Raw genomic sequence first — 22,301 nt, forward strand, 5'->3', positions numbered from 1 at the left:
AATACAAAAATTAGCCGGGCCTGGTGGCGGGCGCCTATAGTCCCAGCTACTCGGGAGGCTGAGGCAGGAGAATGGCGTGAACCCAGGAGGCGGAGCTTGCAGTGAGCCGAGATCACGCCACTGCACTCCAGCCTGGGTGAAAGAGAGAGGCTCTGTCTCAAAAAAAAGAGAATATCTAACTTGGCCGGGCGCCATGGGTCACGCCTGTAATCCCAGCACTTTGGGAGGCCAAGGCAGATGGATCATTTGAGGTCAGGAGTTCAAGACCCAGCCTGGCCAACATGGCGAAACCCCCTCTCTACTAAAAATAAAAAATTAGCTGGGCAGTAGTGGCAAGAGTTGTAATCCCAGTTACCAAGCTCCTATTCAAGATGGAGTTGCTCTGGTTCAAACGCTTCTGACAGTACTTCCCTCTGATATCCCCCAAACCCTGAGATCCCGCAGGGCCCAAACCAGGGTTCATGTCTTTCTTCCAAAGTGCACCTCCTCCTGGGTTCCTACCTGGGTTTGTTGTCCCAGGGCTTTTGTAACAAATGACCACAAACTGGGGGGCTTGGAACAGCCTCTCCCAGTCCTGGAGGCCAGAAATCAGCTATCAAGGTGTGGGTAGGGCCTCACTTTCTCCAAGGGGAGGGTCCTTCCTGCCTCTTCAGCTTCTGGGGACTCCGGGTGTCCTTGGCTGATGGATGCATCACTGTGGTCTCTGCTCCATCATCTGTGCGTCTGCGTCTCCTCTCCTCTGTGTTATAAGGACACTTGAGGCCGGGTGTGGTGGCTCACGCCTGTAATCCCAGCACTTTGGGAGACCGAGGCAGGTGGTTCACTTGAGGTCAGGAGTTCGAGACCAACCTGGCCAACATGACGAAACCCTGTCTCTACTAAAAATACAAAATTAGCAGGGTGTGGCGGCGGGTGCCTGTAATCCCAGTACTCAGGAGGCTGAAGCAGAATTGCTTGAACACAGTAGGTGGAGGTTGCAGTGAGCCAAGATCACACCATTGCACTCTAGCCTGGGCAACAAAGCGAGACTCCATCTCAAAATAAAAATAAAAAATAAAAATTAAGGATGCTTGTCCTTGTGTTTGGGGCCTGCCTTCATCTAGCTTGACTTCATCCCAAATTCCTTATTGAAATCTGCAAAGTCTCTTTTTCCAAATCAGGTCACATTTCAGGTTCCAGAGTGGCTATATCTTTTTTAAAATTTTATAAAATTAATTTTAATTTTTTTGAGACAGGGTCTCACTTTGTCACCCAGACTGGAGTGCAGTGGTATGATCATAGCTTGCTGCAGCCTCGACCTCCCAGGCTCAAGGGATCCTCCCGCCTCAGCCCGTTTAGTAGCTGGAACTACAGGTGTGAACCACCACACCCAGCTGTTTGTTTTTTTTTTATTAGAGACAAAGTCTCACTACATTGCCCAGGCTGGTGCAAACTCCTGAGCTCAAGCAATCCTCCCGCCTCAGCCTCCCAAGTAGCTGGGACTGCAAGTGTGTGCCACCATGCCCGGCTAATTGTTTTTAATTTTTACTGGAGATGGGGTCTCACTGTGTTGCCCAGGCTCGTCTCAAACTCCTGGGCTCAAGCCATCCTCCCACTTCAGCCTCCCGAGTACCTGGGACTACAGATGTGAGCCATCATGCCCGGCTAACTTTTTTTTTTTTTCAGTAGAGTTGGGGTCTCACTATGTTGCCCAGGCTCAGGATGGATGTAGCTCTTTTTCAGGGAGCCACCATTCAACCCATTACATCCTCACACCCTACCATCCAAGTGCATCCCAGCCATCCTTGCCTCCTCCCTCCCCTCCCCTCGTCCCCCACCAAAGCCCTACCTTAGATTTTCCTGTCTTTGTCCCCATGGCCCTCTGGGGTAGTCTTCACCTTCTCCCATACTGACCTTGACTCTGCCCCCTCACTGGCCTCCAGTCTTCTGTCCTGCACTCCAGTCCCTTCTTCGTGCTGGCCCCAGGAGGCTCTTTCCCGCACACACCTCTGACTATGCCCAACCCCTGCTCAAACACCTTCCATGGCTCCCCACTGCCCTTGACATCAGTCCAGCAGTTCTTTGCCTGTTTCACCCTCATCTGTCCCCTCCAATGGCATCCCCCATCTCCTGCAACACACTTTTTTTTTTTTTTTTGAGGCAAGAGTTTTGCTCTGTTGCTCAGGCTGGAGCGCAGTGGCGAGATCTCGGCTCACTGCAAACTTTACCTCCCAAGTTCAAGTGATTCTCCTGCCTCAGCCTCCTGAGTAGCTGAGTAGCTGGAATTATAGGTGCACGCCACCACACCTAGCCAATTTTTGTATTTTTAGTAGAGACGGGGTTTCATCATGTTGGCCAGACTGGTCTTGAACTCCTTACCTCAAATGATCCGCCTGCCTCTGCCTCCCAAAGTGCTGGTATTACAGGCATGAGCCACTGCACCTGGCCCTTCTTTTTCTTTCTTTCTTTTTTTTTGAGATGGGGTCTCACTCTGTCATCCAGGCTGGAATGCAGTGGCATAATCTCAACTCACTGCAACCTCTGCCTCCCGGGTTCAAGAGTCATTCTTGTGCCTCAGCCTCCTACGTAGCTGGGACTACAAGCATGAACCACCACACCCAGCTAGTTTTTGTATTTTTAGTAGAGAGGGGGTTTCACCGTGTTGGCCAGGCTGGTCTTGAACTCCTGACCTTAGGTGAGCCACCTGCCTCGGCCTCCCAGAGTGCTGGGATTACAGACGTGAGCCACTGCGCCCGGCCCTACCACACACTTCTGAAAGCCTATGTTCCACACACCAGGCAGGCTCTTGTTCTATGGCCCCAGCTCCAAGAATCATCCTTCAGGAAGCCGTCTCCAAGCAGAACCAGGTTGCCTTCAGAGCGTCCCCAGCCCTGCCTTTCTCTTGGCCCGGGCTGACCACACAGGGTGTGGAGGGGACAGGAGTGTCAGGCTCTGCCTCCTCCTAGCAGGAGGATCACAGAGAATCACTTCCCAAAAAAGAGCATTTTCCTGGGCTGGAGACTGGAGTGTCCTTTTGGGCTGAGGTCCCCAGCTGCCCGGGCTGGAGAAACTTATCCATTGAGCAGATCTCATGTTCCCCAAGGATCCCCCACCTTGATCCCCAATGTACCCTTGGTACCCTTGGGTCTCGAGAGATTTGTGTGCAGTGCATTGTCTATGAACTTGAAGATCAGTTCTTTTTTTTTTTTTTTGAGGCGGAGTCTTGCTCTGTCACCAGGCTGGAGCGCAGTGGCACCATCTTGGCTCACTGCACCCACCAACTCCCTGGTTCAAGCAGTTCTTCTGCCTCAGGCTCCCAAGTAGCTGGGATTACAGGCACGAACCACCACGCACAAGCCACCGCGCCCAGCTAATTTTTTTTTTTTGTATTTTTACTAGAGATGGGGTTTCACCATGTTGGCCAGCATAGTCTCTATCTCCTGACCTTGTGATCCACCCGCCTCTGCCTCCCAAAGTGCTGGGATTACAGGTGTGAGCCACCGCGCCCGGCCTAAAGATCAGTTCTTGTCCAGGCTTTGAAAATAGGGTGGGTGCAGATTGCCAATCACTGAGCATTCTGAACCATTGATCCCAGGTGGGACTTCCCTGTCTACCCCCTCCAGAACCCCAAGGCTCTCCAGGTGTGCAGCAAGGCTGCACACCTGCCTCTGGTGCCCTTGCCATCTGGGGCAGGTGTGTGGGGTGGGAGTGGCTGGGGCTGGGACACGGTGAGAGGCTCACCTGGCGTGGGTGGGGGATAAGCTGTGGCTCAGGCTGAGGCTTCCTTCAGGGGATCCCTCTGGGTCTAGGATGCAACCAACCAGAGCTCTCACAGTTGAAATGGGATCCACAGGGCCCTCAGCATTTGATCCAGCCCCGTGTTTCTGACAAAGGTGGCACTAGTTTGTTGTTGTTGTGTGTTTGTTTGAGACAGAGTCTCCCTCTTGCCCAGGCTGGAGTGCAGTGGCGCGACCTCGGCTCACTGCAACCTTATCTCCCGGGTTCGAGCAATTCTCCTGCCTCAACCTCCCGTGTAGCTGGGACCAGAGGCGCGCGCCGCCACGCCCAGCTAATTTTTGTGTTTTTAGTAGAGATGGGGTTTCACCGTGTTGGGCAGGCTGGTCTCAAACTCCTGACCTCAGGTTATCCACCTGCCTTGGCCTCGCAAAATGCTAGGATTACAGGCATGAACCACCATGCCCGGCCCAAGGTGGCACTATTTTAAGGTTATTTCTAGGGAAGCAGGTACGGCAAGAGGCTGTGTTCTTCCTCATATTCCTTGGGGGAGAATTTTGGAAAAGATGCGAAAGCCAGGCAGTGGATCTCAGCTGTTAGTGCATGGTCTGCAGAGCTAGACTACCTAGATTTAAGCCCTCGACATTTGGCCGGGCACGATGGCTCGCACCTGTAATCCCAGTGCTTTGGGAGGCTGAGGCGGGCAGATTACTTGAGGTCAGGAGTTCAAGACTAGCCCGGCCAACATGGTGAGACCCCGTCTCTACTAAAAAATACAAAAAATTGGCTGGGTGCAGTGACTCATGCCTGTAATCCCAGTACTTTGGGAGGCTGAGGTGGGCGGATCACTTGAGGTCAGCAGTTCAAGACCAGCCTGGCCAACATGGTGAAACCCTGTCTCTACTAAAAATACAAAAAAATGGCCGGGCGCAGTGACTCACACCTGCAATCCCAGCACTTTGGGAGGCTGAGGTGGGTGGATCATAAGGTCGGGAGTTCAAGATCAGCCTGGCCGAGATGGTGAAAATCCTGTCTCTACTAAAAATACAAAAATTAGACAGTCATAGTGGCAGGCGCCTGTAATCCCAGCTACTTGGGAGGCTGAGGCAGGAGAATCGCTTGAACTTGGGAGGCAGAGGTTACAGTGAGCCGAGATTGTGCCATTGCACTCCAGCCTGGGCAACAGAGCAAGACTCTATCTAAAAAAAAAATTAGCTGGGCTTGGTGGCAGGTACCTGTAATCCCAGCTACTCAGGAGGCTGATGAAAGAGAGTCATTTGAACCTGGGAGGTGGAGGTTGCAGTGAGGTGAGATGGTGCTGCTGCACTTCAGCCTGAGCAACAGAGCGAGACTCCATCTCAAATAATAATAATAATAATAATAATAAAGCCTGGACATTCTACTTACCACCTGTGTGACCTTGGGCAAGCCACTTCCCCTCTCTGTGCCCCCATCTCTCATCTGTAAAATGGGAACAATGCCAGCAGCTACTGCATAGGGGCTACTATGAGTATTAAATGATTCAGTATAGAGTATAAGCTTATTCTTTTCTTTTTCAGTTTTTTCTTTTTTTCTTTGGTTTTTAATTTTTTTGTTTTGGGGTATTTGTGTATGTGTGTGTTTTTTAATTTTTTTCTGAGTATAAGCTTATTAACATTAAATATCAATGGAGTTTTTTTGAGACAAGGTTTTGCTATGTCGCAAAACCTTGGCTGGAGCCAGGCTGGAACACAGTGGCACAATCATGCCTCACTGCAGCATCGACGGCCCAGGCTCAAGCGATTCTCCTGTCTTGACCTCCTGAGTAGCTGGGACCACAGGCACATGCCACAACACCCAGCTAATTTTTAAAATTATTTGCAGAGATGGAATTTGACTACGTTGCCTAGGCTGGTCTCGAACTCCTGGGCTCAAGCAATCCTTCTGCCTCGGCCTCTGAAGGTGCCGGGATTCCAGGTGTATGCCACCACACCTGGCCCAGTGGACTTTATTAACATCACTGCACGTCTGTGCTGATGGGGAACTGTACGAGTTTGCAGGCGCTGCCGTAACCACACACCACAGACACGGTGGCTTAAACAACAGAAATTTATTTTTGCTCAGTTCTGGAGGCCAGAAGTTCGAAATCAAGGTGTTGGCAGGGCTGGTTCCTTCTGAGGCTGTGAGGGAGCGTTTATTCCAGGCCGTTCCCCTGTAGCGTTCCTTGTCTTGTAAAGGCATCGTCCCATCTCCGCCTGCATCTTCACGTCCCCCTGCCTGTGCGTGTCTCTGTGTCTATTTTTCCATTTTTTATAAGGGCACCAGTCTTATTGGATCAGGGCCCACCCTGATGACCTCATGTTGACTAATTCCATCTGCAATGACCCCGTTTCCAAATAAAGTCACATTCGGAGGTCCTGGGGATTAGGACTGCAAATGATGAATTTGGAGAGGGGGAGAAGCACATTCAGCCCATAACAGGAACTGTGAATCAAAGCTCTATTTATCCAGGGGTGGGTAAACATTACGCATTTTCACCAGCTAGAAACGACAAGCAAAGAGGCCAAGAAGAGGTTGGGCCAAGAGATCACGGAAGCCATAAGGAAGATTTTCAGCACCAGGGACAGCGTCAGGGCGGGCTTTTGTGAGCATGCGTCTGTGTGTGGCGTGTGCATGGGCCTGTGCGTGCGAGTGTGTGTGTGTATGGTATGCATGCAGTATGTGTGTGTGCGTAGTGTATATGGTGTGCATGCATTATTGCATTGTGTGTGTAGTGTGTGGTGTGTGCATCTGTATGTGTGTAGTGTGTGTGGTGTGCATGCATTGTGTGTATGTGTGTGTAGTGTGTGGTGTGTGCATGCATCTCTGTGTGTAGTGTGTGGTGTGTGCATGCATCTGTGTGTGCGGTGTGCATGCATCTGTGTGGTGTGCATGCGTCTTGTCTGCGTGTGTGTGTAGTGTGTTTTGCATGCATTGCGTGTGATGTGTGTGGTATGTGCATGCATCTATGTGTGGTGCACATGTGTCTTGTCTGCGTGTGTGTGCGTGTGTGGTGTGTGTATGTATCTGTGTGCATAGTGTGTGTTGTGCATGCATCGTGTGTGTAGTGTGTGGTGTGTATGCATCTGTGCATGTGTGTGTGGTGTGTTGTGCGTGCCTTGTGTGTAGTGTGTGGTGTGTGCATGCATCTATGCGTGTGTGTATGGTATTTGCATGCGTCTTGTCTGGTATATGTGTGCGTATGTGGTGTGTGTATGCATCTGTGCATGTGTGTGTGTAGTGTGTGGTGTGTGTATGTGTCTTGTCTGCATATATGTGTGTGTGGTGTGTGCATACATCTGTACGTGTGTGTGTGGTGTGTGGTGTGTGCATGCATCTTGTCTGCGTGTGTGTGTGCATGTGTGGTGTGTATATGCATCTGTGCGTGTGTGTGTAGTGTGTGGTGTGTGCATGCATCTTGTCCACGTGTGCGTATGTGTTGTGTGTGTATGCATCTGTGTGTGTGTAGCGTTTGGTGTGTGCATGCACCTGTGCATGTGTGTGTGTAGTGTGTGGTGTGTGCGTGCATCTCTGTGTGTGTTGTGCATGTGTCTTTGCGTGTGTGTGTGGTGTGTGTTTGCATCTGTGCATGTGTGGGTGTGTGATGTGTATATGCATCTGTGCGTGTGTATGTGGTGTGTGTATGCATCTCTGTGTGTGTGCGTGTGTGTTTGCATCTGTGTGTGTGTGGTGTGTGTATGCATCTGTGTGTGTGCGTGTGTTTGTGTGCATGCATCTGTGTGTGTGTGCGTGTGTGTGTATGCATCTGTGTGTGTGTGCGTGTGTGTGTGGTGTGTGGTGTGTGTGTGTGTGGTGTTTCTTTCCCTTTCACTGCAGAGCTCCCAGACCCTGGGGCTGATGGCCTTAAATGTTGCTCAGGGCACCTACCCACTCCCTAGCCTCCTAGGGCCACCACCCTCCAAACCCTGCAGACAAGGAGTCCACAGGCAAAAAAAAAAAAAAGGAACCTAGGAAGAAGGTTTTTTACCCTTATTTTACATCTGCCTGCAGCCCAATTTCTTGCCGATCAAACCTGATTTCTCTCAGGCCTTAGGGCTCGTTGTCTTAGTGTAGTTCTTTTGAAGAGCTTGGGGAATAAAATTCGGAAAACAAACATCAAGAATAGACCATCACATACAACAACGGCAACAGGAAAGATGAGCACATAGACTCTGTGAAGAGCTCCCCCAAAGTGACAAGGTGCCCAGCTTCATTAATAGTTCTTGGAAGGTGCATTAAAATCTCAATGAAATACAACTGCACGCCCACCTTAATGACTAACATTTAAAAGGTTGGCAAAAACCAAGCATTAGTGAAGATGAAGCACTAATAGAGCCCGACATAGGCACAACCCACTTCAGAAAACGATTTGAAGGAATCGATGAAAGTTAAACACACGCCTGTCTTATGCCCAGCACGTCCCTCCTGGGTATGCTTTTTGCATTAAAATATACGGACAAGGCCGGGTGCGGTGGCTTACGCCTATAATCCCAGCAATTTGGGAGGCCACGGCGGGTGGATCACTTGAGATCAGGAGATTGAGACCAGCCTGGCCAACATGGTGAAACCCTGTCTCTATTAAAAATACAAAAGTTAGCCGGGCATGGTGGCGGACACCTGTAATCCCAGCTACTTGGGAGGCTGAGACAGGAGAATCGCTTGAACCCAGGAGGGGAAGGTTGCAGTGAGCTGAGATTGCGCCACTGCACTCCAGCCTGGGCGATAGATTGAGACTCAGTCTCTCTCTCTCTCTCTCTCTGGCTCTCTCTCTCTCTCATATGTATATATATATATGGACAAGGCTGGGTGCAGTGGCTTATGCCTATAATCCCAGCACTTTGGGAAGCCAAGGCAGGAGGATCACTTGAGCCCAAGAGTTCAGGACCAGCCTGAGCAACATAGCAAGACCCCATCTCTAATAATAATAGTAATAATAATAATAACAGCTGGGTGTGGTGGCATGCAACTGTGGTCCCAGCTACTTGGGAGGCTGAGGCCAGAGGATCACTTGAGCCTGAGAGGTGGAAGCTGCAGTGAGCTGTGATCACACCACTGCACTCCAGCCTGGGCAACAGAGCAAGACCCTGTCTCAAAAAAACAAAAATTGGACAAGACTGTTGCAGAGCAACTTTATTCATAATTGCCCCAAATAGCAAACATCCCAATGCCCACCCATGGGAGAATGGATAAGCAATTTTTAGTGTATTCATAGGACACAATACTACCCAGAAACAAAAAGGAACTCCCCCATGATGCACACAACCACATGCTGTTGACTATATATTGAATGAAAGAAGCCAGACACAAGGGCGGACCTATGCTATGATTTCGTTTATATAAGTCCAAAAACAGGAAGCACTCAATCACATTGATACGTGATGCGCACATGGTGGGGACACCATCGTGAAGGCATACACGAGAGCTGGGGTGGTTACCCCTGCAGGATGGAGGGGGTTGTGCTGGGGTGGGGGACACTAGGACTTCTGGTGGCTTCATGGTGGCTGCCACTTTTTACTTTTGTTGTTGAGACAGTCTGACTGTGTCACCCAGGCTGGAGTGCAGTGGCACAATCACAGCTCACTGCAACCTCCACACCCTGGGCTCAAGCGATCCTCCTGCCTTGGCCTCCCGAGTAGCTGGGACTACAGGCCCCTGCCACCACGCCCGACTAATTTTTTGTATTTTTAGTAGAGATAGGGTTTCACCGTGTTAGCCAGGATGGTCTCGATCTCCTGACCTCGTGATCCACCTGCCTTGGCCTCCCAAAGTGCTGGGATTACAGGCGTGAGCCATCACGCCCGGCCTAATTTTTGTATTTTTTATAGAGATGGGTTTTCGCCATGTTGCCCAGGCTGGTCTTGAAATTGTGAACTCAAGTGATCCTCCCGCCTCAGCCTCCCAAAGTGCTGGGATTACAGGCATGAGCCACTGCGCCCGGTCTCTCTTTCTATGTCTCGACCCAAGACATAGTGTGACATAGTTGTCTTGGGTCGAGACATAGAGATGGTTGTATGGATTTATAATCATTTGTTACATTGCACGCTTACGTGTTCTGCACTTTTCAGAGGGGTACATTGGTAATATATCCCAATTACAATGTTTATTGTGGTGATATATGCATAATATGAAATGTACCGTTAAAAAATTTTTTTTTAATTGAGAAAGCACTTTGCTCTGTTGCCCAGGCTGGAGTGCAGTGGCGTGATCTTGGCTCATTGCAAACTCTGCCGCCCGGGTTCAAACGATTCTCATGACTCAGCCTCCCGAGTAGCTAGAATAGCAGGTTCCCACCACCACACCTGGCTAATTTTTTTTGTATTTTTAGTAAAGATGGAGTTTCGCCTTTTGGGCCAGGCTGGTCTTGAACTCCTGACCTCAGATGATCCACCGGCCTCTGCCTCCCAAAGTGCTGGGATTACAGGTGTGCACCACCGCACCCGGCCCATCTTAACCATTTTTAAGCATAGAGTTCAGTGGCATTAAGTACATTCATATTGTTCTGCAATCATCACCACTATCTGATCTTCAGAACTTTTATTTTACTTTATTTTAGAGACAGGGTCTCACTCTGTTGCCTAGGCTGGATTGCAGTGGTGCTATCATAGCTCACTGCAGCCTCCAGCTCCTGGGCTCAAGTGATCCTCCCACCTTGGCCTCCTAAAGTGCTGGGATGACAGGCGAGAGTCACCTTGCCTGGCCTCCAGAACGTTCTCATCTTCCCAAACTGAAACTGTATCCCTGTGAAACACTCACTCCCCATCCCCCTCCCCAGCCCCTGGCACCCCCCATCCTGATTTCCATCTCTGTGAATCTGATGGCTCTGTGGTCCTCCTATGAAACCTCTGTCTGTCGTTTTGTGTCTGGCTTATTTCACCGAGCATGGTGTTCTCAAGGTTCACCCACGTTGTGTCAGGTATCAGAATTTCCTTCCTTTTTGTGGCTGGATAATATTCCACTGTGTGGGTCGACCGTATTGTATCGATCCCTTCATCTGTGAATGGACGCCTGGGTTGCTTCCGCCTTCCGGCCACTGTGAATCTTACTGCTGTCAACATTGTTATACAAATATCTCTGTTCGAGTCCCTGCTTTCAATTCTTCTGAATATACACCCAGACGTGGAATTGCTGGCTTCCGTGGTAATTTTGTGTTTCGTTTCTGGAGGAACTGTCAAACTGTTTTCTGCAGCAGCCGTACCATTTTACATTCCTACTACAAACTTTTTTCTTTCTTTCTTCCTTCCTTCCTTCCTTCCTTCCTTCCTTCCTTCCTTCCTTCCTTCCTTCCTTTCTTTCTTTCTTTCTTTCTTTTCTTTTCTTTTCTTTTCTTTCTTTTCTTAATGCTGGAAACTGTTGTCAGCTCTGCCTGGTACCCCCAGGGTTCCAGGGGGCTTTTTGGACCTGGGGTGGGTTCCCTCGGATTCCCTACCCCCTCCCCACCACACAGCCCAGCTGGCGGGAGCGACCAGCAGGTGGCCACTTTAATTAGCTCCTGCCTGGAGAAGTGGACACCGTGGAGCTCCGTACAGCGTGTCCCTGGGAGACCAGGGACCATAGGGGGCGGGGTTTGAGGGGGAACCGAGGGTTTGACAACATCGGAGCAGCCCACGATGGTCTCATTTCACAGGTCCCCAGACAGGACCACTCAGTCCCCTGTATCCATCCCAGGACCCCTGACCTCCTGTGTGCAATCCCTACCCCACCTTGGGGAAACGTCTTTCAAAATACTTTTGATCTAATTAGGCTTTCAGGGCGAGGGCGGGTTCTCTTGACTTGCTTGTCTCCTGTCTCTGTCTCTGTCAACGTCTCTGGTCTCCCACCCCTAACGTCGCCCAATCACAGCCTCACTCTGGGCCACCAGAGGGCTGGCCCCGCCCCTCGCTTCCCACCCTCCGATCCCTAATGTTGCCCAATCACAGCCTCACTCTGGGCCACTCTATGGGCTGGCCCCGCCCCTTGCCTCCCATCCCTAATGTCATCCAATCCCAGCCTCACTCTGGGCCACTCCGGGGCTGGCCCCGCCCCTCACCTCTCCTGATTGGTCCTGATTTCTGCCACCATGCCACACCCTCTCAAGCTCCACCCCCATCCATTGGCTGGTCCAACTTGTGGTCCTCTCAGACCATCCCCTCTCCCTCTGATAGGGGAAGGTGAGGCCCAGAGAGGGGGAGCGCATGATCCAAGGCTACACTGCTGGTCAGTGGCAGAGCCCACTGCTCCCTATCCCAGGGCCAGGCCTTCTTCCATCTTTCTGGGACCACTAGTGCCCTCCCCATCCTCCCCGCTGGGCAGCCCCTCTGCCCACTCCCCTCACCCCACCTTGTCCAGGGCTCTCAGCATCTCTTTTCTGAGCTCAGCCACTGACTTTGTTAATGGCTGGACCTCCTCTCCCTCTTCCTGGTCTCACCCTTTGCGGGGGTGTATGTGTGTGCAGGGGTGGAACGGGTGGAAAACACTGAGCCACTTCGACTGTCCCCTCCCAAAACATGGTGGCTTCAGCATCCTCTTCTCTTTTTATTTTTTGAGATTGTAATAAGATATACACAACTTCAAATGTACCGTCTTAACCATTTTAAATGCATGGTTCAGGCCGGGTGCGGTGGCTCACGCCTGTAATCCCAGCACTTCGGGAGGCCGAGGCGGGCAGATCACGAGGTCAGGAGATCGAGACCATCCTGGCTAACACGGTGAAACCCCGCCTCTACTAAAAATACAAAAAAATTAGCCAAGCATGGTGGCGGGCGCCTGTAGTCCCAGCTACTCGGGAGGCTGAGGCAGGAGAATGACGTGAACCCGGGAGGCAGAGCTTGCAGTGAGCCGAGATCGCGCCACTGCACTCCAGCCTGGGTGACAGAGCCAGACTCCGTCTCAAAATAAATAAATAAAAATAAAAATTGCACAGCTCAGTGGTATTAAGCATATTCACACGGTTGTGCAACCATCACCACCATCATCTCCAGAACTTTCTCATCTTCCCAAACTGAAACTCTGTCCCCATGATACACTCAGTCCTCATTCCCCTCCCCAGCCCCTGGCACCTCCCCATTTTACTTTCTGTCTGTGTGAATCTGATGACTCTAGGGACCTCCTAGGAGTGGAATCACACAGGATTTGTCCTTCTGTGTCTGGCTTATTTCACTGAGAGTGACATTCTCAAGGTGCATCCATGTTGCAGCCTGTGTCAGAATTTCCTTCCTTTTCTTGGCTGAATAATATTCCGTTGCGTGGATGCACCAGGTTGTGTAGATCTATGCATCTGTGGATGGAAGCTTGGGTTGCTTCCACCTAGTGGCCACTGTGGGTGGTGCTGCTGTGACCATGGGTGTGCCCGTGCTCTCTTAACACCCCCGTTTCTCTCCCTTCCAGGCTGTGCCTTCCTCACCTACTGTGCCAGGGATTCCGCCATCAAAGCTCAGACTGCCCTGCACGAGCAGAAGACCTTGCCCGGAGTGAGTCCTGTGTGGTGTCTGGGGAGGAGGGGACAGGGGATGGCTCTCAGCCTGGGGTGGGAGCCAAGGCTCTTCCTGAGATTGGCTGTGAATTCTGTGTGTCTCGGGACTCAGAAAGAGGTATGAGGAGCAGAGGTATAGAAATCATCATAATAGTGTGCATTTATTGAGTGCCTACTGTGTGCCGTGCTCTATATTTCATACCAGAGTGGTTGTGTGTGGTTGTGCAGGTTGTATACTGCACAAGGGCACCTGGCCCAGTGTGTCGTTGTCTTTGGGTTGAGACCTGAAGGATAAGGAAGCATTAGCAGGCAGAGGGCACAGCATGTGCCAAGGCCCGGGGGAGGACCATGCCTGACGTGTTGGAGGAACAGGGAGGAGGCCCGTGTGGCTGGAACAGAGTGAGGAGGTGGAGAAAGAAAGGCGGGAAGGGCAGGGGAGGTGACAGGGCTGGTTGCTGAAGGCTGTGTGGACCATGGGGAGAAGCATAGACCATGCTTGCTTCTCACTATAAAAAGGAAAATGATTTTCCTCGCTTGTCTTTATGGTGCAAACGGAGCCACAGTTCCTTAACACAAGGGCTTCTTTTTTTTTTTTTTTTTTTTTTGTTGTTGTTGTTGTTGTTGAGATGGAGTCTCGCTTTGTCACCCACGCTGGAGTGCAGTGTCATGATCTCGGTTCACTGCAACCTCCGCCTCCCAGGTTCAAGTGATTCTCCTGCCTCAGCCTCCCAAGTAGCTGGGATTACAGGCGTGCACCACCATGCCTGGCTAATTTTTGTATTTTTAGTAGAGACGGGGTTTTGCCATATTGGCCAGGCTGGTCTCAAACTCTTGACCTCAAGTGATCTGCACACCTCGGCCTCCCAAAGTGCTGGGATTATAGGTGCGAGCCACCAGGCCCGGCCAACACAGGGGCTTCTTCATCACAATTTCTGTCTGCAGAGGAGGCTGGCCTGGGTGCTGTCTCTGATGAGTCTCTCCTTATTTTTATTTTTTGAGACAGGGTCTTGCTCTGTTACCCAGGCTGGAGTACAATGGCTCACTGCAGCCTCCACCTCCTGGGGTCAAGTGATCCTCCTACCTCGGCCTCCTGAGTAGCTGGGACTATAGGTGCATGCCATCACACGTGGCTAATTTTTTAATTTTTGTAGAGACGGGGTCTCATTATATTGCCCGGGCTGATCCTGAACTCCTGGCTCAAGCGTTCCTCCTGCTTCGGCCTCCCAAAGTGCTGGGATTACAGGTGTGAGCCAGCACACCCAGCCTGATGAGTCTCTCCTGGTCAGCTTTGTCCTCTTTGGGTGGGCAGGAGGCCCCTGCCCCCAGTGAAGGATGAGTGGTCTCCCTGAGCCAGTCAATCCGGGTCCCCAGGCCATGCCTCTTGATGGAGACTGAAGGAACCACAGTGAGCCACGGCGCCCCACCTTGTGAGCTCTGGGGCAGGGAGCTCACCCTTCCCTCCGGAATTCTCAGGGACCTTTCAGCCTCCAGGGACATCAGGGCATTCGTAGCCTTCGTGCTTGGCTGACTGTAGGAAATCTGACGTGCGCCTTCCAGGGACCCGAGGTCATGGCATGAGTTTGACTTGATTCTCCATGAGCATTGGAAGGTTCTGGGCCTGGGGGTGGCCTCTGCTTGGTCTTGAAGAATAGAGAGCCCCTCTTTTGGGTGTGATGTGATGCAAGTTAGAGTGTGGGGTCTGGCAGCCACATCTGTGGGCTCGTTGCTCAGCTCCATCCTTGCTGTGTGACAGTAAGCCAGTGACTTAACCTCTCTGATCTTCAGCACTGGAAGAGAATAACAGGGCAGGGTGGGCTAGCAATCTATAGAGAAGGTGCTCAGTGGAGGGCTTCACTGAGGATGTGACATTTGAGAAAAAACCTGAAAGATGGCATGGAAGGGCACTCCAGGCAGAAGGAACAGCATGTGCAAAAGTGATCTAGAGTCTGCGGTAAATTCCCTGAATTCACTGTTCATCTTGGACCTTCTGCTGGTGCCTACCCAAACCAACCAGAAGCTAAAAAAGTACATTAAAAAAAAAAAGAAAGAAAGAAATCCCACAACCGAACAAAAAATCAAACCAACCAGAAGCTGGAGGGCAGGTCAGTCCATACAGATTAGTGCCCAGGGGCACAGCAGAGTTCTAGGGACCATATTAGTTATTTATTGCTGCATAACAAATTATCCCCAAAATAAAGACTTCAAACAATAAGCACTTGTTATTTCACAGCTACCAGGGGTCAGGAATTTGGGACTGAGTTTGCTGCATGATCCTGGCTCAGGGAGGTTACAGTCAAGATATCAGCAGGAGTTTGTGGTTGAGGAATCTGCTTCCAAGCTGGCTCCCTCTAGTGACTGTTCAGGAGGCCTCAGTTTCTCACCACGTGGGCTTCTCCACAGTGCTGCTTGAGCTTCCTTACAACATGGCATCTTCCCCCAGCACACGTAACCAAAGAGTGATCAAGGAGGAAGCCACAGTCCCCTTTAAGCCCTAGCCTCGGAATTACACACCATCATTTCCACCACATTCTAGCACCAGAAGCCCAGGGGTGCAGAGCAGGGGGGGCAAAGGTGGAGGGAGGAACTCAAGGAACAAACCAGCTCAATACTGGACTTGTCCAAGGTTAGGCAGCCTGCAAGCTGCAGAGTGGGGATTTGGACCTTCATAGTCTGACTCCAGACCCTGTGCTGTTGCCTAATTCATCTAAGTTTAGTGAACCATGTTTTTGCTTGGCATCAGGTCCTGGGGGAAGCTCTGGTCCTTCTGTCCAGAGAAATCTGTACATAGATGGAGATTTACCAACACTTCTAAGGAGTCCTCCCAGCTAAGCACTTCTCCCCCATTCCTTTGTCCTCATTTCCCTGATGAAGGTAACTGAGACACAAACCCAGTCTCTATTCCACTGTCTGAGGCCTTAGGGACCTTGGAACTGGTTCTTTTCCTGTTGGGGGCCAAAACTGAGCTCTGCACTCTGTTGGCAGCCAGGAGGGAAGATGGAAGAGGGTGGAAGGACCAAGAGCCACGAAACCTCATGCCCTTCTTGCCAGGCTGGTGTCCTGGATCTGAGTCCACTTTGAGATGAAGAGATGCCGCAATCACCAGCAGCTCCTTCTCTGCATCCATCTTGAGGGGACTCTGTCCTTCTCTCCATGCCTACTCTCCCTGGGTCAGCCCATAAATTCATAGCTTCCATCCATCCATGCACCTTTCCATCCACCCATCACCCATCTGCCCATGTGTCTACATGCCTGCCTACCTGTCACCCATCTACCTGCCTATCCATTCATTCATTCATCCATCTACTCATCCACCTACCCACCCACACATCCATCATCCACCCATCCTCTCATCCAGCCACACGTCCATCCATCTACGCATCCATCCATCCATCCATCTATCCATCCACCCACCCATCTATCCATCCATCCACTGATTTACCCTTTCATCCATCCATTCACACACTGATCCATGTTTCTATCCATTCATCCACCCATCCACCCATCAATTCATCCATCCATCCATCCATCCATGCATTCATTCACCCATCTACTCATTACCTACCCACCCACCCACACATCTATTATGCATCCCTCCATTCTCCCATCCAGCCACACACCCATCCATTCACCCACACATCCATCCATCTACCATTCATCCATTGAGTCACTCACTCATCTATCCACCCACTCATCTATCCATCCATCTGTTCACCCATTTGCCCTTTTATCCATCCATCCATCCACCCATCCATCCATCCATTCATCCATCCATCTATCCATTACTCATCCACCCACTTGTCTATCCATTCATCTGTCCATCCATCTACCCTTCCATCCATCCATTCATTCATCACTCACTCTTCCACCCATCCATCTATTAATTCATGTATACATCCATCCACCTATCTATCCTCCCATCCACCCACACATCCATTCACCCATCTACACTTCTTTCCATCTATCCACCAAATTTTTATCAAGCACCTACTATTTACCCCACGCTATGCTAAACTCCCATCATCAGTTCTGTGACTGGTCACCTCCTGAGTGACTCCTGTGGCCGTCCCCCAGTCCCCATCCCCCTAGACCCAATGGGGCTCAAACTGGCTATGGCACACCCCCCAATTTTTTTTGAGACAGAGTCTCACTCTGTCACCCAGGCTGGAGTGCAGTGGCTTGATCTCAGCTCACTGCAACTTCTGCCTCGCGGGTTCAAGTGATTCTCCTGCCTCAGCCTCCTGAGTAGCTGGGATTACAGGCATGAGCCACCACGCTGGCTAATTTTTATATTTTTAGTAGAGTCGGGGTTTCACCATATTGACTAGGCTGGTTTTGAACTCCTGACCTCAAGTGATCCACCTGCCTCGGCCTCCCAAAGTGCTAGGATTACAGGCGTAAGCCATTGAGCCTACTGCCCCCGACTGCTTTTTTTGAACCAGTTTCTCTCCCTCAGTCCCTGGGCATCAGCCTCTTCTCCTCCCTCCTCCTCGCCCCCAGAGCTCATGGCCCCCACATCCTGCCCTCTCATTTGTTGCCTTCTCTCTGCTTCCACCTCTGTGTTCTCCTGAGTTCAAACCTTAGCTTCCCCTCTCCCAAGCTGTGTAATCTTCAACAAGCATCTTTCCCCTCAAACCTCAGTTTTCTTTATCTCCAATATGGGTAACACTTTCTCCACCTAACAGGCTGCAGAGAAGATTTAAAGACGTGAAGGTGGGTCAGGCGCGGTGGCTCATGCCTGTAATCCCAGCACTTTGGGAGGCCGAGGCGAGCAGATCATCTGAGGTCAGGAGTTCGAGACCAGCCTGGCCAACATGGTGAAACCCCATCTCTGCTCAAAGTACAAAAATTAGCTGGGCGTGGTGGCAGGGGTCTGTAATCCCAGCTACTCGGGAGGCTGAGGCAGGAGAATCACTTGAACCCAGGAGGCAGAGGTTGCAGTGAGCCAAGATCACGCCTCTGTACTGCAGCCTGGGTGACAGAACAAGACCCTGTCTCAAAAAAAAAGGAAAGGTGCGAAGTGGATACTATTTTTGGAGGTGTTAAGCCTTTATATTCTGGTCCTTGGCCATCTTTAGTTTCTAAAAATTTCTCACTCCCCAGACACTGACGACCCAGCCAGGGTTCCCACCCCTAAAGTATTCGTGGGTAACTGCCTCTCCCGCCTGGAGAATTTCTACCTTACTTTCAAGGTAACAGCTGGCCGTCTCCTCCTTCTGCTCATCCCTGACCTCTCAGGGCTGGGGGTGTCTGTGTCTGGCTCTGACTCCCCCAGATTGGGAGCCCCTCAAGGGCAGTCCCTGGGCTGAGTCCTCCAAACCCCTTTGTTCATTCAGCATTTACTGAGCATCTGACTTATGACAGAATGAGGATACAGTACAAACAGAAAATAAGCAAGCCAGTGAGAACAACATTGAGACAAGAAATGGGGTGACTTTCAGAGCAATGACTCAGGACGGAGGTTTCATTTATTATTATTATTATTATTATTATTATTATTATTATTATTAATTTTTTTTTGAGACGGAGCCTAACTCTGTCGCCCAGGCTGGAGTGCAGTGGCGCGATCTCGGCTCACTGCAACCTCCGCCTCCTGGGTTCAAGCGATTCTCCTGCCTCAGCCTCCCGAGTAGCTGGATTACAGGCATGTGCCACCGTGCCATGCTAGTTTCTGTATTTTTAGTAGAGATGGGGTTTCACCATGTTGACCAGGCTGGTCTCAAACTCCTGACCTCAAGTGATCCACCAGCCTCGGCCTCCTAAAGTGCTGGGATTACAGGCGTCAGCCACTGCACCTGGCCTTATTATTTTTTTTCTGAGACAAAGTTTTGCTGTGTCGCCCAGGTTGGAGTGCAGTGGCACAATCATAGCTCATAGCACGATCATAGCTCATGGTACGTCCCACTAATTTTTAAACTTTTTGCAGAGATGGGGGTCTCACTATGTAGCCCAGGCCCGTCCCGAACTCCTGGGATCAAGCGAGCCTCCCACCTCAGCCTCCCAAAGTGCTGGGATTACAAGCGTGAGCTACCAGATTGTGCCTGGCTGGGAGTTCCATTTAGACAGGGTGGTCAGGGAAGGCCTCTCTGAGGAGATGGCCTGGAGAGGAGGAAGCCGTGCACTCTCTGCAGGAAGGGCGTTTCTGGCAGAGGGAACGGCCAGTGCAAAGGCCCTGAGGCTGGACCATGCCCGAAGCATGTGAGGACCACTGAGGTCAGAGGAGTGAAGAAGAGTGAGTGACGGGGAGTGAGGGGGAGAGTAGGTGGAGGAGAGGGGGAAGAGGAAGCAGAGACAGGACCGCCACAGTGAGCAGCTTGAATTTTGTTCCAAGGGTGACTGGGACCAGGGGACAGTAGCAACCAGAGGAACGATCTGGTTTGTTTGTTTCCACTTTTATTATTATTATTTATTATTATTATTTTTTTTGAGACCGAGTTTCACTCTTGTTGCCCAGGCTGGAGTGCAGTGGTGCAATCTCGGCTCACTGCAACCTCTGCCTCCCGGGTTCAAGCGATTCTCCTGCCTCAGCCTCCCGAGTAGCTGGGATTACAGGCATGCACCACCATGCCCGGCTAATTTTTGTATTTTTAGTAGAGACGGGGTTTCCCCATGTTGGTCAGGCTGGTCTCGAACTCCCGAGCTCAGATGATCCGCCTGCCTCGGACTCCCAAAGTGCTGGGATTACAGGCATGAGCCACCATGCCCAGCCTCCATTTTTTTTTATTTATTTATTTATTTATTTATTTATTTATTTATTTATTTATTTATTTGAGACAGAATCTCACTCTGTTGCCCAGGCTGGAATGCAGTGGTGCGATCATAGCTCACTGCAGCTTTGACCTCCCACCTCAGCCTCCCAGGTAGCTAGGACCACAGGTGCACACCACCATACCTGGCTGATTTTTTTTTTTTTGACAGAGTTTTGCTCTTGTTTTCCATGCTGGAGTGCAATGGCACGATCTGTGCTCACTGTGGCCTCCACCTCCCGGGTTCAAGCAATTCTCCTGACTCGGCCTCCCAACCTGGAATTACAGGTGCCTGCCACCAAGCCAGGATAATTTTTGTATTTTTAGTAGAGATGGCGTTTCACCATGTTGGCCAGACTGGTCTCCAACTCCTGACCTCAGGTGATCCTCCCACCTTGGCCTCCCAATATGCTGGGATTACAGGCATGAGCCACCACGCCCAGCCCTGTGATTTTTAAATTTTAAATTTTTGATTTAATTTTTTTTTTTGTAGAGACAGTGGTTTTCCTATGTTGCCCAGGTTGGTCTCGAACTCCTGACCTCAAGCAATCCTCCCGCCTTGGCCTCCCAAAGTGCTGGGATTACAGGCATGAGCCACTGCGCCCGGCCTGTGTCTGTGTCCCTTTGCTTTTCTCTTAGAAGGACACTTCTCATTGGATTTAGGGCTCAGCCTACATCCAGGATAATTTTATCTCAAGATCCTTCATTTAATTACATCTGCAAAAGACCTCTTTTCTAAATAAGGGCATATCCACAGATCCCCAGGGCTAGGATTTGGGGATATATATATATACATATTTTTTATTTTTATTTTTTAGAGACAGGGTCTTGCTCTGTCGCCCAGGCTGGAGTGCAGTGTTGCAATCATAGCTTTTTACAGCCTTGACCTCCTAGGCTGAAGCAATCCTCCTGCCTCAGCCTCCTGAGTAGCTGGGACTACAGGCACATGCCACCACGCCTGGCTAGTTTTTTATTTTTTGCAGAGATGGAGTCTTGCTATGTTGCCCAGACTGGTCTTGAACTCCTGGGCTCAAGCGATCCTCCCGCCTCGGCCTCCCAAAGCGCTGAGATTACAGACGTGAGCCACTGTGCTTAGCCTGGATTTATCTTTTGGGGAGCCACCATCTAACTCACTCCAGGGGTGACCACAGAACCAATGACCAAATGTCAGGGTGACCCAGGGACAGCACCCTGAGGGAGAAGCAGGCAGCCTGCGTGGACGATTTAGTGAAGGGTGGACAGGGTGGCTTCTTGAAGGAGGGAATGTTTGGGATGAGTCGAGAGATGGAAGGATTTTCACAGATGGAGGTGGAGATGGGGGTGAGTGGGGACAAAACTTACCAAGATTTGGAGGCCAGAACATGCCCAGTGTGCTGTTGAGTGGCAGCTCATGGGAGCCTCTGTCAGCTAATGAAGGGGGTCAGGTTAGGTAAGGAGGGGTCTCAACCAGGGTGATCCTGCCCCCGCCCCAGGACACTGGCTGCTGTCTGTGGACATTTGTGGTTGTCACGACTTGGGGAGGAGATGCACCTGGCATGGAGTAGGTGGAGGCCAGGGACGCTACTCAGCACCCTGCAGTGCCCAGGACGGCCCCACCCCAGAAAGCAATTCAACCCCAATGTCCACAGTGCCCGGGGGAGAGATCCTGTGTTCATTACTTTGGGGAAAAAGTTGAATCCTCTCCCTGCTCACATCAGACACCAGAATAAGCTCCCGATGGGGTAGACAGTAGAAACCAGGAGGACCCCAGCTCCTGGGACTCACCTCCTGTCTCCCTCCCCACTCAGGGTGCGGATTTTAATGTGTGCAGCCTCCTGGGACCTCAGCAGGGAAGCGGGTCATGGGACATAGTCTCTTGGGGGTCTGTGGAATCCCCTAACCTGGGGAGGGGGTCTCAATCAGGGGTGATCCAGCCCCCAGGAGACACTGAGCAATGTCTGGGAACATTTACGGTTGTCACGACGTGGGGGTGCTGCTGGCATGGAGTGGGTGGAGGCCAGGGACGCTACTCAGCACCCTGCAGTGCCCAGGATGGCCCGACTCCAGAGAACGATCCGGCCCCAATGTCCACAGTGCCCGGGTGGGAGAGACCTTGCCTAGGAAGATAAGGAGCAAGTAATGTTCTGGAAGAGTGTTATCTAATAGAAAGAGAATGTGAGCCACATATATAATTTAACATGTTCCAGGAGCAATATTTAAAAAGTAAAAAAGAAACAGGTGACATTAATTTTAATAATATATTTCATTTGAACCCAATATATCCCAATTCTTACCATTTTAACATGCAGTCTATGTATTTCTATTTTTCTTTTTTTATTTATTGAGACAGAGTCTGTCTCCATCACCCAGGCCGGAGTGCAGGGGCGTGATCTTGGCTC

The 22,301-nt window shown here is 50.8% G+C and overlaps 1 protein-coding gene across 8 annotated transcripts in view; it reads left to right on the plus strand.

Moving 5' to 3' along the window:
* Positions 1 to 22,301, plus strand: part of CELF5 (CUGBP Elav-like family member 5) — a 72,416-nt gene that overhangs the window by 13,229 nt on the left and 36,886 nt on the right. For all 8 annotated transcript variants that reach the window (XR_430147.2, XR_001753733.2, NR_033342.2 and 5 more), the window contains exon 2: positions 13,096 to 13,178. Coding sequence is in view for 4 of the 8 variants with exons in the window: in XM_006722832.2 (XP_006722895.1) it covers positions 13,096 to 13,178 (83 nt within the window). In the remaining 4 variants the exon portion in view is untranslated. The remainder of the gene's footprint in view (positions 1 to 13,095; positions 13,179 to 22,301) is intronic.

This window comes from Homo sapiens, chromosome 19 (genome assembly GCF_000001405.40).
Source record: "Homo sapiens chromosome 19, GRCh38.p14 Primary Assembly".
NCBI lineage: Eukaryota > Metazoa > Chordata > Mammalia > Primates > Hominidae > Homo > Homo sapiens.